The sequence below is a fragment of the Homo sapiens genome, chromosome 2 (genome assembly GCF_000001405.40).
Source record: "Homo sapiens chromosome 2, GRCh38.p14 Primary Assembly".
NCBI lineage: Eukaryota > Metazoa > Chordata > Mammalia > Primates > Hominidae > Homo > Homo sapiens.
The window spans coordinates 225,646,297-225,661,043 of NC_000002.12; the positions used below are offsets into that span (position 1 = coordinate 225,646,297).

Below are 14,747 nucleotides of genomic sequence, written 5' to 3' on the forward strand. Positions count from 1 at the left end.
ATCCTAGCACTTTGGGAGGCCAAGGCGGGCAGATCACGTGAGGTCGGGAGTTTGAGACCAGTCTGACCAACATGGAGAAAACCCATCTCTACTAAAAATACAAAATTAGCCAGGCGTGGTGACGCCTGCCTGTAATCCCAGCTACTCAGGATGCTGAGGCAGGAGAATCACTTGAACCTGGGAGGCAGAGATTGCGGTGAGCCAAGATTGCGCCATTGCACTCCAGCCTGGGCAACAAGAGCAGAACTCGGTCTCAAAAAAAAGTTCCTGCCATGTGATACCATTAAGCAGCAGTGTTATGGACTGTATGTGTGTGTGTCTGTGTGTATCTGCCAGTGTATGTATGTGTACATTATGAATATATGGTAATGATCTTACTCTATCCCTGCATATGGAGTCATATTCCATGCTGGTATCGAACATTAGACCACTGGGTGACCTCATTGTAGAACTAGCCCACACAGGGTACTTGGCTAGTAGTTTAATTTGCCATGTTCAATGGGTGGTTAGTGATTTATATTGCAGTGCCTACTGGGGCTTGATGAACCTAGACATGATCTGGACTGGCATCCTATGGGGGTAGAGCAAGACGTTTCCAGGTCACGGTGACATTTGGAGTTTGCTTGGATTTTGGTGAGGTGTAGTCTGTGCATTGGAAATAATGTTGCCTACAGTGAAAACAGGTTTGGTCTGACCAGAAACCAATAAAAGGGGAAATTAATCTTTAGGTACCTTAGGTGATATAAAAGCCTTTGATCTGGTTAGATAATCTTTTTTCATCAGATGATAATATCTTCAACATAAACTGGAAAAAATCTCTATAGTAAATAATTATTTGTCATCCTTTTCTAGGAAAAAAAAAATACTGAATTTTCTCATTCCATGTGACCAAATGTGCTAAGCTAGTCATGGCATGTATGGAAACATTGGCTTATTATGGAAACATGTCAACCAGGGTTCTGATGGATGCTTTGCTTGTTGTTTTATATAATAAAGGATGATTCCTTAAGGTATGCAAGGATTTAGGCATCCTGGGAAATGAGGTTAATTTATAAGTTACTAGGATATTGTATCTATGTCATCATATGATACACTTGTGTTTAAACAGCCTCAGAGAGAATCCAGTGGTATTTTCAAGAATGGGTGGGCAGACGTTAAACACCCGCACAAAATCAAGGGAGAATTTTCAAATGCCGTGCCTTCTCTGTAGGACCCCAGAGGGTCACATCCCCTCTAACTGGAATCACTGCCATGGTAAGTAGGCGAGAGAGGCTTGAAACTAGGTCTTATAACAGGTTCTTTGTTACATCATTGCCTCCTTGCTTTGAGGAGTTGCAGTGACCTTTTCTAGGTTAATTTGAGTATCTTCAGTGAAAGAAAAATACATAATAATTGAATGCTTATTAGGTGGTTCCTACCGGCAAAAATGCTGAAAACCACAACAAGCAGTGCAAATGCTATCTAAGTGATAAGGCAGTTCAGAAGAGAGAAAGAAGAAAACAAGATCACAGGATGCTTTTCAATAAAACTACACTTTGAACTAGGTCTTAGAAAATGGTGAGATATGGTTTGATTAAAGTCCATGCTTGGCAACAACTTGAGGTGAAAGGTGAAAGAATCAAAAGTCGATACCAAGAGGGTAGATCAAATTATATATATATGTGTGTGCATACATATGTGTGTGTGCATATGTATGTATATAATTTATTTATTTATTTTTTGAGATGGAGTTTTGCTCTTGTTGCCCAGGCTGGAGTGCAATGGCATGGTCTTGGCTCAGTGCAACCTCTGCCTCCCAGGTTCAAGTGATTCTCTTGCCTCGGCCTCATGAGTAGCTGGGATTACAGGCATCCGCCACCACGCCCAGCAAATTTTTGTATTTTTAGTAGAGATAGGGTTTCACCATGTTGGCCAGGCTAGTCTCGAACTCCTGACCTCAGGTGATCTGTCTGCCTTGGCCTCCCAAAGTGCTGGGTTACAGGTGTGAGCCACTGCACCCGGCCCAAATAGTATATATTTTAGAAAGCAAGAAGCAGTGGAAAATAGAGTGGATCCGATCAGATGGAGCCAGGTCACAGAGGACCTCTGGAAAATAGACGTTTTTCATGATAATAAATATGGAATAATTGAACATTTTTGAACAAGATGAGTGGCCTAAAGTATCTAGGAAACACAGTCTGCATTGTGTCTAAGTTAGATGTGAGCAGAGAGATTATGGGGAGGTTTCTGAGATGAGTTGAGATAACTATAAGAGCCATTGCAAGGGGGAAAAAAAGCAAATTCCAACAGGACTAAATTTATAGAGAGAGGAAAAGAAAGCTCTAAACTGAAAAAGTACAAGATTTGGACCCTAAGACTTTAGGAAAATGGAGGTGATGTTTCTACTATACATAGGAAAAGTAGAAGGAAGATCCAAGATATTGAGAAGAAGCTGGAACTTGGTTTGCATCCTGAAGCAATGTAGACAGCCTAGGGACCAGGAAGCACAGGGGCTCAAAATCAAAAAGGAGCATGGGAAGGGGACAGAGCTATGGGAACCTGCATTTGACTCCAAGGGAAAACATTATCTTTGAAACCATGCGACTGCTGATGTTCTTAAGAGAGAAGGTGCAGAGGGAAAAGGCCAAGCAAGAAACAAGTTGATGAAGCTAAAAGGACATTGGGTTGAGAGAGAGGTGAAGGAATGCATATCACAGGTGGAAAGAGAGTCATTTTCCAGAAAGAGAATGTAGTTGGTTTCATTAAAAGTAGCAGGAGGAATAGAGGTAAGGGTCACTATGCACGTACTTGTGCAAGTGCGTGTGTATGTGTGTGTATGTGTGTAGGGGGTGAGAGCTAGCATTCACTAAAAGCACTTGTTATGTGTCTGGTGTTTTTCTATGAATTTTGCATGTAATTCAGTTTATCTGTTTACTTAGCACTAGCTCAACTCTTCTCCACTAACCTGGAAACCAGGATATTTCACTATTACTATTTCCTTATAATAGGCAAGCAATACATTCTGAAATGCTTTTGACTTCTGGATCGGTTGGAAAGTAAAGTCTGTGGATCCAGGATACTTCCCACTTCAGATTTTGCTGCCCATTCAGTCCTTTTGGCAGGTGTTAATTACTGCAGCTTCTTCAGGGTCTCTCCTTGCCCTGCTCCCCAGAACACAGTGGATACTCTGATAAATGATATCACAGCACCCTCTACGTCTTCCTTCTAACATATTTCCTAATTTTTGGCAAATGATTTTAGGTTTAATGTCTCTCCCCTGAGAATACATAAACGTCATTAGAATATGGAGTCTCCAACTCCTGGGCTCAAGTGATCCACCCGCATCAGCCCCACAAAGTGCTGAGATTATAGACATAAGCCATTGTGCCTGGCCCATCATTTGTTGTTTAATGTCTATGTTTAGTGCATAGACTGTGCAGTCCCTTAGGGCAATATTGGGATTTTGGTCACAACTCTCTGGCAAGTTCCTGGCACATAGTAGGCATAAAATACATAGATGCCGAATGTTGAATAAGTGACTAAATTCATTTTATTTGAGAAGAACTAAAACTTGAATAATGAAAACAATTGTTTAAGATCATACACCTAGCAGAGTCAGATTCAAAATTAGCTCTAAGTCCAAACCTTGTTTATTGTCTTTTATTGTTTTCCTCTAAATCAGAAGTACAGAGAAAACACTATTTTATTTGCCAAGAAAGAAAACTATTAGTTCCCTTAGGAGAATAATATTAATAGAGAGGTGAAGCATTGTTGAATAGGTGGAAACAGGACTGAGAGAGGAAAGGTGCATATGGGTGAGAGTGTATGAGTCTGTGTGTAAGTAGGCGTAAGCTTACTCATTCTGTGTGTCTGCATGTTGTGTCTGAGAGGGGTTGGGAGTGGAGGAGTGGAAGGCAATTGATGGAAACTGAAGTTGGCAGTGAACCATTCATGCAATGCAGATATAGTCAATGCTTTTCTCTGAAGTGCGATTCATATAGAAATGGCATGAGGATAGTGCACCTCCCCAGCGTGAGCAACACATTTTCTTTTCTTCCAACGGAATTGGGCACATTCTGGCTCTCTGGCACGCGTGTCAGTTCTCAGTACCGTAGTTATGTCATATTATTTAAAGCCAGTTGTTCGATGAGTTTAATTTTTAGGTCAAGTTTATAAAGAAAGGCTTTTTGAAAAGCACTTGTTTATTTATTAGGCAAAGACTGGATGTGGAGAACCTTAGGTTTCTAATTTGTAAGTTGAGGATATTGATAGCTAACTCCGTAGCTCCAAAGAGAGTTCTTAGGATTAGAGATAATTTAGGTGTAACTCCTCACAGAAGCTGGAATGTACTAGGCACTCAAAAACCAACAGCTTACACTGAAGTTTGTGATAAAGTATAAATGTCCATTTTTCTTTCTATGACTTGTTTTTCCTTTGTCAAATATCTTCAAATATGTCTTTAAATTAATCATCTCTACCTCCCAAATATCCTGTACTTTCTGGATGAAGGGAACTCTTTCAGTCCTCAAACTGTAATCTCTAAAGCATCCTGTCAGTGGCCTAGGCAGCTAATTTGGGCTCCTCAAATTAGAGAAGAGGTAGGAGAAAGCTTTTTAAGTTGGAAAAATAATATTATGAAAGATAGTAAAAGTCTTGGAAGACAGTTATAAAATTTAATGAAAATCAAGATGAGTTGAAGAAATGTTACATTGAAAACATGATGATAGTATTCATGGAAGGAAGGAAAACAGAACATTTGGAGAAGGGATAGAAGACATTTTAGGACACAGAAATCCTACGGATCAAAGCTAAAAGTGAAACATTCAAAATAGTCATGGTACTTGCTTGTTCTCCTAATGGGTTGTTGTTGCTCCAGGGATGACTCCATAGAAACCAACCCTAAGTGAGGTAAAATGTGCAAAGGCACAAGGCCTGTGCTTCTGAGAGTTGTTCCCCAGAAGCCAATCTGGGTATAAAGCTCCTTTTAGAGTCAACTGCCATGAAAGTGTTTTATCACCTGCTACTTATTAGCAAACATCAGGAGCATTTTGTATATTCCAAGAATAAGTAGCGAAACAAACAGAAAGACTGAAAAGCCACTTCATTATTCCAGATGTCAGTCAGCTAATATTGTGTCTTTTTCCGCTTGTTTCCAGAGCCTAAAGTAAGCTGCAAATTAGGCCGGTCTGCGTCGACGTCAGGTGTGCCTCCTCCATCAGTCACTCCCCTCAGGCAAAGCAGTGACCTGCAACAGAGCCAGGTACCATCATCGTTAGCCAATCGTGATTGACTTCCTGTGATACAACTTGCCAAATGCTTCCCACCTCTGTCTGTCCTGTTGCTGTAGACAACTTTCGCATTTGCTTTTATTTTTCTATGTGTGTATGGGTTAGGGGATGCGGGGGATGAGTTCTGGCAGTCTGTGTTTTCATTTGAAAAAGAATATCTTTCTTCCTTGTGATTGGTGGTGAAACTTTCTTTGCTGTTTGTTACCAAATCGTTTTTGTCTCTGGTTTCCATCATTCTGTAATATAAATGTAGTAAACTTGTACTATATGTATTGGCTTAGTGGTTCTTTTTTAAATTCTTTCTCTCTTTCATGTTTTGTGTACTTTTATACTGTCTCTGAAAATTTATCAATATTTGATAAATTTATCTACTTTGTTTTATGTAGATTTCTTTTTAAATGTTTTGTCCAGAACACTCGCACAGATGTTGTCAATGAATTTGTACATATTTCTTAGCTCTTATCCTATTATACTGTAATATTTCTGGTGGTTTTATTTTTATTTAGCTTGGAGCATGACTGTAAGACACTGTTGAATATTGATGTCCTTATAAATATTCATATCCCGATTCATTTGGATTGAGTATGGCAGCTAGTCTTTCTTCTTTCTTAGGCTATTGACTGGCCTAAGACAATTTGACTGGCCAGACAAATTGACTGGCCAGATAATCTAGATATTTAACAAAAACTGCAGATTAATAAGGCAACCTTTAAATGAATGACTTTTCTCTCTTATACCAACAATATCAGAAATGTTCTCAGAAAGGGAATGTAAGTGTTCATGCATGGTAAATGAGATCTCAATTATCACTTGGAGAAAAGAGACAAGAAATAAAGGCATAAACTGAAATATCATTTAATCCTTTACAGCATAATATGTTGCTCTGATGTTCGTTTGGGTACGTGGTTGTGGATGGGGAATTAGTATGGGGAAAAATCACTACACATAAATGTCCTATCTTTAGCTCACCCAATAGGAATTCAATACATTGACTTAATTTGTGAGGCTTAATTGTCGTTACTGTTAAGTATTATAGGTGTTAAGTAGGGTGGTGTCATTCTGGAATGTTTTCTCTCTGCTTCCTAGCTTCAATCTTTGCATTCATGAAACTCTTCTGAAATAGCAACTTATAAAACACTGATGATACCTCCAAGGGAACTGCCCATTACTGATGAGAAAATTACATATTCATCTATTATTTTAAATGTCAGGCTATTTTAAAAACATAACTAAGTAGAATAATTGCGTTTTCTTCTAATGAGAGACATTGTGCCTCTTAGTGTTTTTGTCTGACTTAAATATGCAAAATAGTTGATTTATAAATATATGAGGTATCTGCAAATACAAGAAATGAGAGGCTTCTCTCAAGGGTATCTCAAGTACCATTTAGAATTTCTTGTGTCTTAATTTAAAATTTAAATGCCTTTATATAAATGTTAAATGCCTTTATAACTAAATGTACCAACTCAAACACTTTTTGGATATAAAAGAAGTAGAAACAGTAAGACACTGAATAAAATAAATAAGATAAACTGCCAACTTAGCTAATTAAAGCTATTCCAAAAATATTGTACTTACCAACATTTAAAGCTTAAAAACATTGGGTACTGAAAGAAGAGAAGTTTAGCTAATTGGCAGAGGATTGCACTAATACAATCAAGTTTTCAAGTTTATGACCCTTGCTAGTATATTACCTTCAATATCTCAGAGATGTTTTGTATTATTTGTTTTGTTTTGCTTTTTTCCTAGTTGTCTTTATAGCTGTTTCACCCTAAGCCCCTTCAAACTCTCAATGAAAGCAGGTTCTTGGGATAAACTTCCAGAATAGAGACAAGGTATACCCTTTGTGCCTTTGCATTATCAACTCTTTGTTCACCTGATGGGAAGTTCTTCGTTTTTCAAAATGTAGCAAGGGAGAAAGCCCAGGACGCCTTTATATGCTGTTAGTTTCCTTACCTGCTGATAGAGATTCTGACACACAGTCAAATCATACATGGGCTGTCAGAGCTATAAATTAGAAGGCTGGCCTCTAGGCTTCTCCTCTGTGGCTTATAGCCAGTTGTAATATACATGCATTCCTATACTCTAGAGATGAAGTGGTAAGCATAGCTCATATGAACACTGCTCTGAACTCCTCTGACTTAGCATTCAACTTAAGTCAAGAAATACTTATTGGCTGGGCGTGGTGGCTCACGCCTGTAATCCCAGCACTCTGGGAGGCAGAGGTGGGTGGATCACAAGGTCAGGAGATTGAGACCATCCTGGCTAACACGGTGAGACCCCATCTCTACTAAAAATACAAAAAATTAGCCAGGTGTGGTGGCGGGCGCCTGTAGTCCCAGCTACTTGGGAGGCTGAGGCAGGAGAATGTGGTGAACCTGGGAGGTGGAGCTTGCAGTGAGCTGAGATCGCACCACTGCACTCCAGCCTGGGTGACAGAGCGAGACTCCATCTCAAAAAAAAAAAAAAAGAAAAAGAAAAAAAAACTTATTAAAAGTCCTTTTCTCACCTACTTCCCATGCCCTCAACCATAGTCTTGACTAAGATGTCTGTTTAAATTACAACTAGGACGGCACTGCCCTGTGCTCAGGCATGCAAGACAATGGTGGAAAAACATGTAAAACTGTTGAATCTAACAATGACTACTCATACCTAAACAAGGATAGGGAACACCTAGCACTATCAAACAAACAATCCCTCTGGTCACTTTTTAAGCAGTTTTCGCAACACCAAGACTCCTGGTAGTTATTAAAACCCAGAATTCTTAATAGGAGATTAATAGACTTCTTACTAGGAAAATCATTGGAATTCATGTGATCTATTTAAAACAAATAAAAGGCCAGGTGCGGTGGCTCACACCTGTAATCCCCACATTTTGGGAGGCCGAGGCAGGTGGATCACCTGACTTTAGGAGTTTGAGACCAGCCTGGCCAACATGGTGAAACCCCATCTGTACTAAAAATACAAAAAATTAGCTGGACGTGGTGGCACACACCTGTAATCCCAGCTACTTGGGAGGCTGAGGCAGGAGGATCGCTTAAACCCAGGAGGCAGAGGTTGCAGTGAGCTGAGATTGTGCCACTGCATTCCACCCTGGGCAACAGAGTTAGACTCCATCTCAAAAAAATAAAATAAAACAAAAAATAAATAAAACAAACAAAATCAGTCACTCACCTCTAAATAATTCCAGTGGTGCTTGTCTATGGAGGAATCTGGCCTTACGAATGCTATGACATTTCAGCCACATTATGGGGCATTACCCTTCGTACAAAAAGACCTGTGTTACTTCTCAGATTGTTGTTGTCATCCCATCTCTGTTCAGTTTTCTTGGTCCTAGTTTGTCACTCACCGTTTCGTGTCATGGTTGGAGCTGTCTAAGAAATGTTGTAGGTGGAGTTAGGTGAAAGTGCTTGACATCACTAAGGCAGAGATTCACAGAGGTGACCAAAGTGACTGGTCCCCATTCCCCATGGGCCTGGGGCCAATAGTGACAGCCCACCACCAGAGGTGGTATATGAACAAAGGGGAAGGTATGTTTGCTTGCCTTTGAAATCAGTTTTAGCTTCAGGTAACTACAGCAGACACACGATCTGTAGAAATGTATAATTGTATTTGACTGGAACTTCAAAATATGTAAGAGAAAATGAGAAACTCTGGAAAAAAGTATGAGTTCTAAAGCATTTAGAGTTTGCCCCAAAACACATATTATTCTCTGACACTCAGAGAGTTAAAAATAAGATTTTATTTTTTCTTAATTTGCTCCTGAGTAAATAGACTAGACATGGGGCAATTATAGACATTTTCTTGGAACTTCCTTGTAATGCAGCCACGTTTCTGCATTTACCTTCATAGAAATCTTTGGAAATCAGACTGAATTTTTGTGCCTACCATTAGAAAGTTAACTTATTTTCTTAGTTAAAAAAAGTCAAACTGCACAGGAGTCATGTATTATACTTGGAGCACGTTACTTTCTCTTTTGTATTCTCTGTAATAGAGTAGAAAGCCATGTACTCAGAAGAAAGAGATGTGAATGCTCTTAGACACAGCAGATGGTGATGCTCATGTGATTCCTCCATCTCTGGCTGATCTCAGCCTCCTTCTTCAGTGACCCCATTGGAAACAGTGCCATCTATACTCTTGCTGCACAGGTGATGCTATAGCAGCTGATGCACAGGCCATATCAAACCATGCTTTCCTGCAAGAATGGAGCGGCTAAGATGTGTCTCCAAACAGAACTGCAGCTTTCCTTGGAAAAATGTTCCCAAGACATGTTTGAATTTGTTTTTCTAGGAAGGAAGGAAATGAGAGCCACAACCTCCACTACACACACACACACACACACACACACACACACACACACACACATACACACATACACACACACACACACCAACACAATCTCACACATTCACTCACAAACACATATTTTTTTTACAGCAGATTCTCATGTCAAGGAATTACAAAGCTAAGAGTGACCCAAGTGTTGAACTGAAACCTCAACTTCTTCGGAGGCTTGTTTATCACACTAAACTGAATTATCTCTGATCATCCTTGATTTGGGGGAGGGAGGTAGGAAAAGGTCACTTGTAATTTCCTTTGGACACACATTCCAAAGTTTGACAGACCAAATCTCTTTAGAAACCTACACAGAGTGCTTAGAAACCACATAGTGCTTTGCCTCTGAAGCCATGATCTCTGTGGGTCCTGTGTTTCATGATACCTGCGTCCTCACCACCCAGGACAAAACTTGCCCAGCCCAGTCCCTTCTGTATACTTAATAGCTGTTATCCAGGCTACTAAGCCCCGTTCCTTTCAACTTGTCTCTTCGGGATTACTTAGCAAATGCTTATTCCTTTTCATAGCAGCCCCCTGGCCTCTCACCAAGCTCCTAACTTCCCCTTTGCTTGACGACCTTGCAGGAGAATGAGAGTCTTCCCAGGCTGCCTCTGGAGCAGATGCAGGTTCTCTCTTTCCATGGGCTCCACAGCTATGTCATTATGTCAGCACCGGCTGGCAATCCTGGATAAGGGAACATGTTAGGGGGTCCATAGCTTGATGCATATCTAGAGTGTATTTCTGAACATGCTCAGATGCCAGAATTGTTTTCTACAGACTTAAAAAAAGAAGATAGACAACCCAAAATAGGGATGTGGGGTCAGTACATGTGAAGACCAGGGTGAAGGACTTAGGTGAATTTCTTTGCAGGGACTGTGCTCAGTTCAGAGGTCTTCCTCCAATGCCCAGCGCAAAGTGAGGCCCTCAGTCATCATTTGTTGACTTACTCAACACCTCTCTCTATAAACATCTTTCTGTATATGCGCTTCAAAAAATCTTTTCTCAAACAATTTGATTTTGTTCCTGTTCTTCAGTCCTTAATATTTCCAAAGCAGGGTCTGTGAGTTCTGAGCTTTCATTGAACTTTCTAGATAGTACATTTGCACATAAAACATGCCTGGGAGCCTGGAGAGTGTGAGAAAGGCTAACAACAAAGGGAGCCAGGAGAGTAAGGCCTAGAGTGTGAAATGAGAAATCTAATTCCTTTTTTTTTTTTTTTTTTTTTTTTTGAGACAGAGCTTCACTCTTGTTGCCTAGGCTGGCGTGCAATGATGCGATCTCAGCTTATTGCAACCTCCACCTCCAAGTTCAACTGATTCTCCTGCCTCAGACTCCTGTGTAGCAGAGATTACAGGCGTCTGCCACCACACCAGGCTAAATTTTTTGTATTTTTAGTAGAGACGGGGTTTCACCATGTTGGCCAGGCTGGTCTCAAACTTCTGACCTCGTGATCCACCTGCCTCAGCCTCCCAAAGTGCTGGGATTATAGGCGTGAGCCACTGCGCCCAGCAGGAAATCTAATTTCATCTCCTGGGTGCCCACCCCAACTCTGAATAACCTGACCTTAAAGGCTGCAAAGCTCCATCCTCATTTAATTTGTGCCTTCAATAGAATCAAGCAGAAAAACAAAAACAAGTCCTAAGGGCAATATGGGAAATCTCTTTCAATTTTGCTGTGAACCTAAAACTGCTCTAAAAAAAAAAAAAAAAAAGGAAAAGGAAAGTAAAAACAAAAACCAAAACACCGTAAAATGTAAGAGTAGAAAAACTTCAAAAATATTTTCTCTTTACAATTCTCAGGCCACTATGAGCATAGAGATGACTTGTTTTGCCAAAGTCATGCACACTTTAGTTTAGCCCCTTGTCCTATAGACCAGGGACATTTTACCTGATCAGTTGGATACATTGTCAAGTGTTTCCTACTTTGAGACTAAGGTTTTACAGTCCACAGGAGAAAGCAGTGCTGGGAATGAGATAGCCACAGAATATGTAGTTGGAGAGCATGTGCCACCCTCACTCTGTGTGACCAACGGCCCCTTCTCTATAATGTGCTGCTCAAGTGTTGAACAAAAGTGTTTTCTTTTTTTCTTTTTTGAGATTCTGTGATATTCCAGATTCTCCTATCAGACCTGAACTGAGAACATGTTTTCCATGCCATTTGTACCTTTACACAGCTGATTTTATTGTATGCTCATGATTACACCACATGATGGAAATGGAAGAAAAGCAGAAACAACACACAGAACAGAACCAACAAAATCTGAACTCATTAACACACAGCTTCTCACCACCACACAGCTTCTTTCAGGCTGTGCAACACATATTAAAATTGGCTCTTATTATTTACTTCCTTCTGCATACATGTCAACCTTACATATATTTCCAAACATGAAAAACCCTAAGAGGAGGTCTTGGAACACCCCCCTAAGTTCACAGTACAACATCAGCATTATGTTTGAGAAGTGTTTCTCTGTACTAACTTCAAATTGTAAAATAAAGTGCTATGTTAACAAAGATTATGTTAAAAAGAAATTATGCTACAAAGAAATTATGCTTATTTGTTATAAAAATGATATTTACCAAAGAATTTGGATCTAGCCCTGTGAAATGTGGAATAAATTCATGTTACAAATAAGAATGTCAGTGGCTAAGTGGATCTATTACCAAGTACTATAGCCTAGTTGCATTAAAACAATGCAAGTGCAAAAAATATATAAAAAGCATTATCTTATGTGTGCTTTATATGGTCCTGTCAAATTGTTTTATAAAAATGTTAGGCTTTAGTTCTTTATGGCACTCTCTATGAGCTTTAATTAATGTCATATCTAAGGTGGAAAATAAAATTTATTATTACTTTTAAATAGTAGCTGAATCAAGGAATATGTAAAATGAAATGTTGGAATTATTTCCTTTCTACTTTAATACAAAGAATTCAGAGGGTCATAACTCTTTACAACTTAGCTGAAGTATGGGCTAAGTAATTTACATATTATTTAGCCATTGCGTGCTTATTAACTTTTACATACTTTAGGCAGCAGAATATTTGTGGGTCACTTTTTCAAGTCCAGAAGTTCCATGATCAGTCTCTCAGTAACTCCATTATAGAGTGGAATAAAACAAAACAAGCTCATGCCTGCCGCCAACAACCTTGTCATTTATTCTGTCAGAGCAAGGAGGGTATAATAAGCAAGAAGATGTTCTCAAAGAAGTCTTGAACCAATTGACAAATAAGGGTGGGGATTGGGCCCAGTGGACTCTGAGGATGCCTGTTATCTAACTCTGCTGTCGCTGGTACCTGTGTGTGTCCCTCTCTTCAGCATCCGAGGTCAGAGTTATCAACTTCACCACCAGAGCTACAGGTGTGAAGTAGCAGAAGTACGTACTCCAGCTTTCTTTACCATCTGGAAGGGACAAAAAGTTATTCAGGGTTCTTAGGTGAAGTTTGCATAATGAACATGATGTGCCATTTTTGTCACCTCTCATGTGCTTACCATGTGCCAGGACTGGGCTCGGAGCATGCCTGCATCATTGTAGGTGTGTTCCCTACAGTCCTCACTGATGGGTACTATTATTATCCCACATCACAACCAAGGATACCAAAGTGAGTAAGGTTACATAGCTTATCCAAAGTTTTGTATTTATTAAATGTCAAAGGCTATGACATTAACCACTCAAAAACCTGAGATTTACCACTCAGAACCTGATATTAACCAGTCAAAAACCTGAGATAGACAAAAACCTGAGATAGATATGAGACTTACAGGAAGTAAAGATTTATTAGAATCCTGGCTCTACTGGTTAGTGGCTGTAAGACCTGGAATATGTTGCTGAACCTTTCTGAGTCTGGGGTTGTTGTTGAGGATTAATGAGATAACATAGGTGTGTAAAGTCCTGGACAGACATTACTTGTGGGAAAAAAATATTAATTCTTTCTCCTTTTCCTAACAGTTTTTCCTCTTTCCAAAAAATTCAATTTTTCTGCTTGCTGGAAAATTCTAAAGAGAAAAGTAGTTCAGTCAGTGTTATTCCAAAGGCAGTAGTCACTGAAGGAATGATTGGTCCACCCCACTATCCCCAAGCTGGTATACAACTGCTAGTGCATGGTGATAAGAAAAAGCAGACAGATTTCTAGTTGGTTCTATCACTGGTTTTAAGTTCTCTGTAGACAGTGCATCTCCTTATTGCCTGCACCTGGGGCAAATTGATTTCCCCCACCTTGTCCTTGGTACCCCCCTAGAGCCCATTATATTCATTACTCCTTCTTTCACAATTACAAAATTAGTTACTAAGTTATTTACCATGTAATAGGGAGTTTAGGTCTGGCATTTCTTCTTACCTTGTAGGTCTCATATGTGGGTTGGAGGCAAAGTACGTAGAAATTGGCTACAGGTAGCATTTCAGAACTGTCAGCTCTCCTGCCCCCAATACTACTTACTCACCTCTTTGAATTAAGGTAGGAGAAAATACAATGAAAACATTAAGTCTATATAGGAAGCTATTATCTGCTAGGGTCGGGACAGCAGGTATTAGAGACACAGGATACATTTTTTTTTTTTTTTTTTGCCAACCTCAGCATTTACTTAAAGATTCCACATACCAGTTTTAAATGCCTATTTTTTTTAATGCCTGCAACCATTCACATTATAAAATGTATCGATTTAACTATTAAAACGAATGTCTGGCTTCAGATGGGGCGGGCCAACTCAGCCTGTGGAAACACAGCATAACACTAGGTGGATACATGGCGCCACCTAGCGTCTGTAGCGCACTTTGGAATCTATACTTGGCTTTCAAAAATTGAATCAAACAAAACTGTTTTATGACACAGAAGATGTATGCGTTGTTTGGGATAATAAGCAAAACGCCTGTAGAAATCTATGACAAAATCTGCTGATGATTTTTGTTTTGAATTTTTTTCGTTACTTTAATCTTGCAATTTTAGGTTCTCTAACTTTTAAATAGTATGCCTTTAAAAATAATACTTAGGGGAAAAATGAATCACAGCTACTGATCTCAGAGTGCTATGCATTATTTATGAATATGTGCAGCTGTTTTCATTAGGATTTATGACATCTTCTGTGCATTGTAAATCCCTTAATTCAACCTGAGTTTCCAGGAAAGGAGATCATTATCCCTCTTTTGCCAA

General features: G+C 39.5%; 1 protein-coding gene across 4 annotated transcripts in view; it reads left to right on the plus strand.

Moving 5' to 3' along the window:
• Positions 1-14,747, plus strand: part of NYAP2 (neuronal tyrosine-phosphorylated phosphoinositide-3-kinase adaptor 2) — a 305,716-nt gene that overhangs the window by 248,358 nt on the left and 42,611 nt on the right. For 3 of the 4 annotated variants that reach the window (XM_047445201.1, NM_001371273.1, XM_047445200.1), the window contains one exon: positions 5,136-5,239. In XM_047445201.1, the coding sequence (XP_047301157.1) occupies positions 5,136-5,239 (104 nt within the window). Of the gene's footprint in view, positions 1-5,135; positions 7,723-14,747 lie in introns of those variants that run through there. The other variant, NM_020864.2, reaches the window with a different exon arrangement.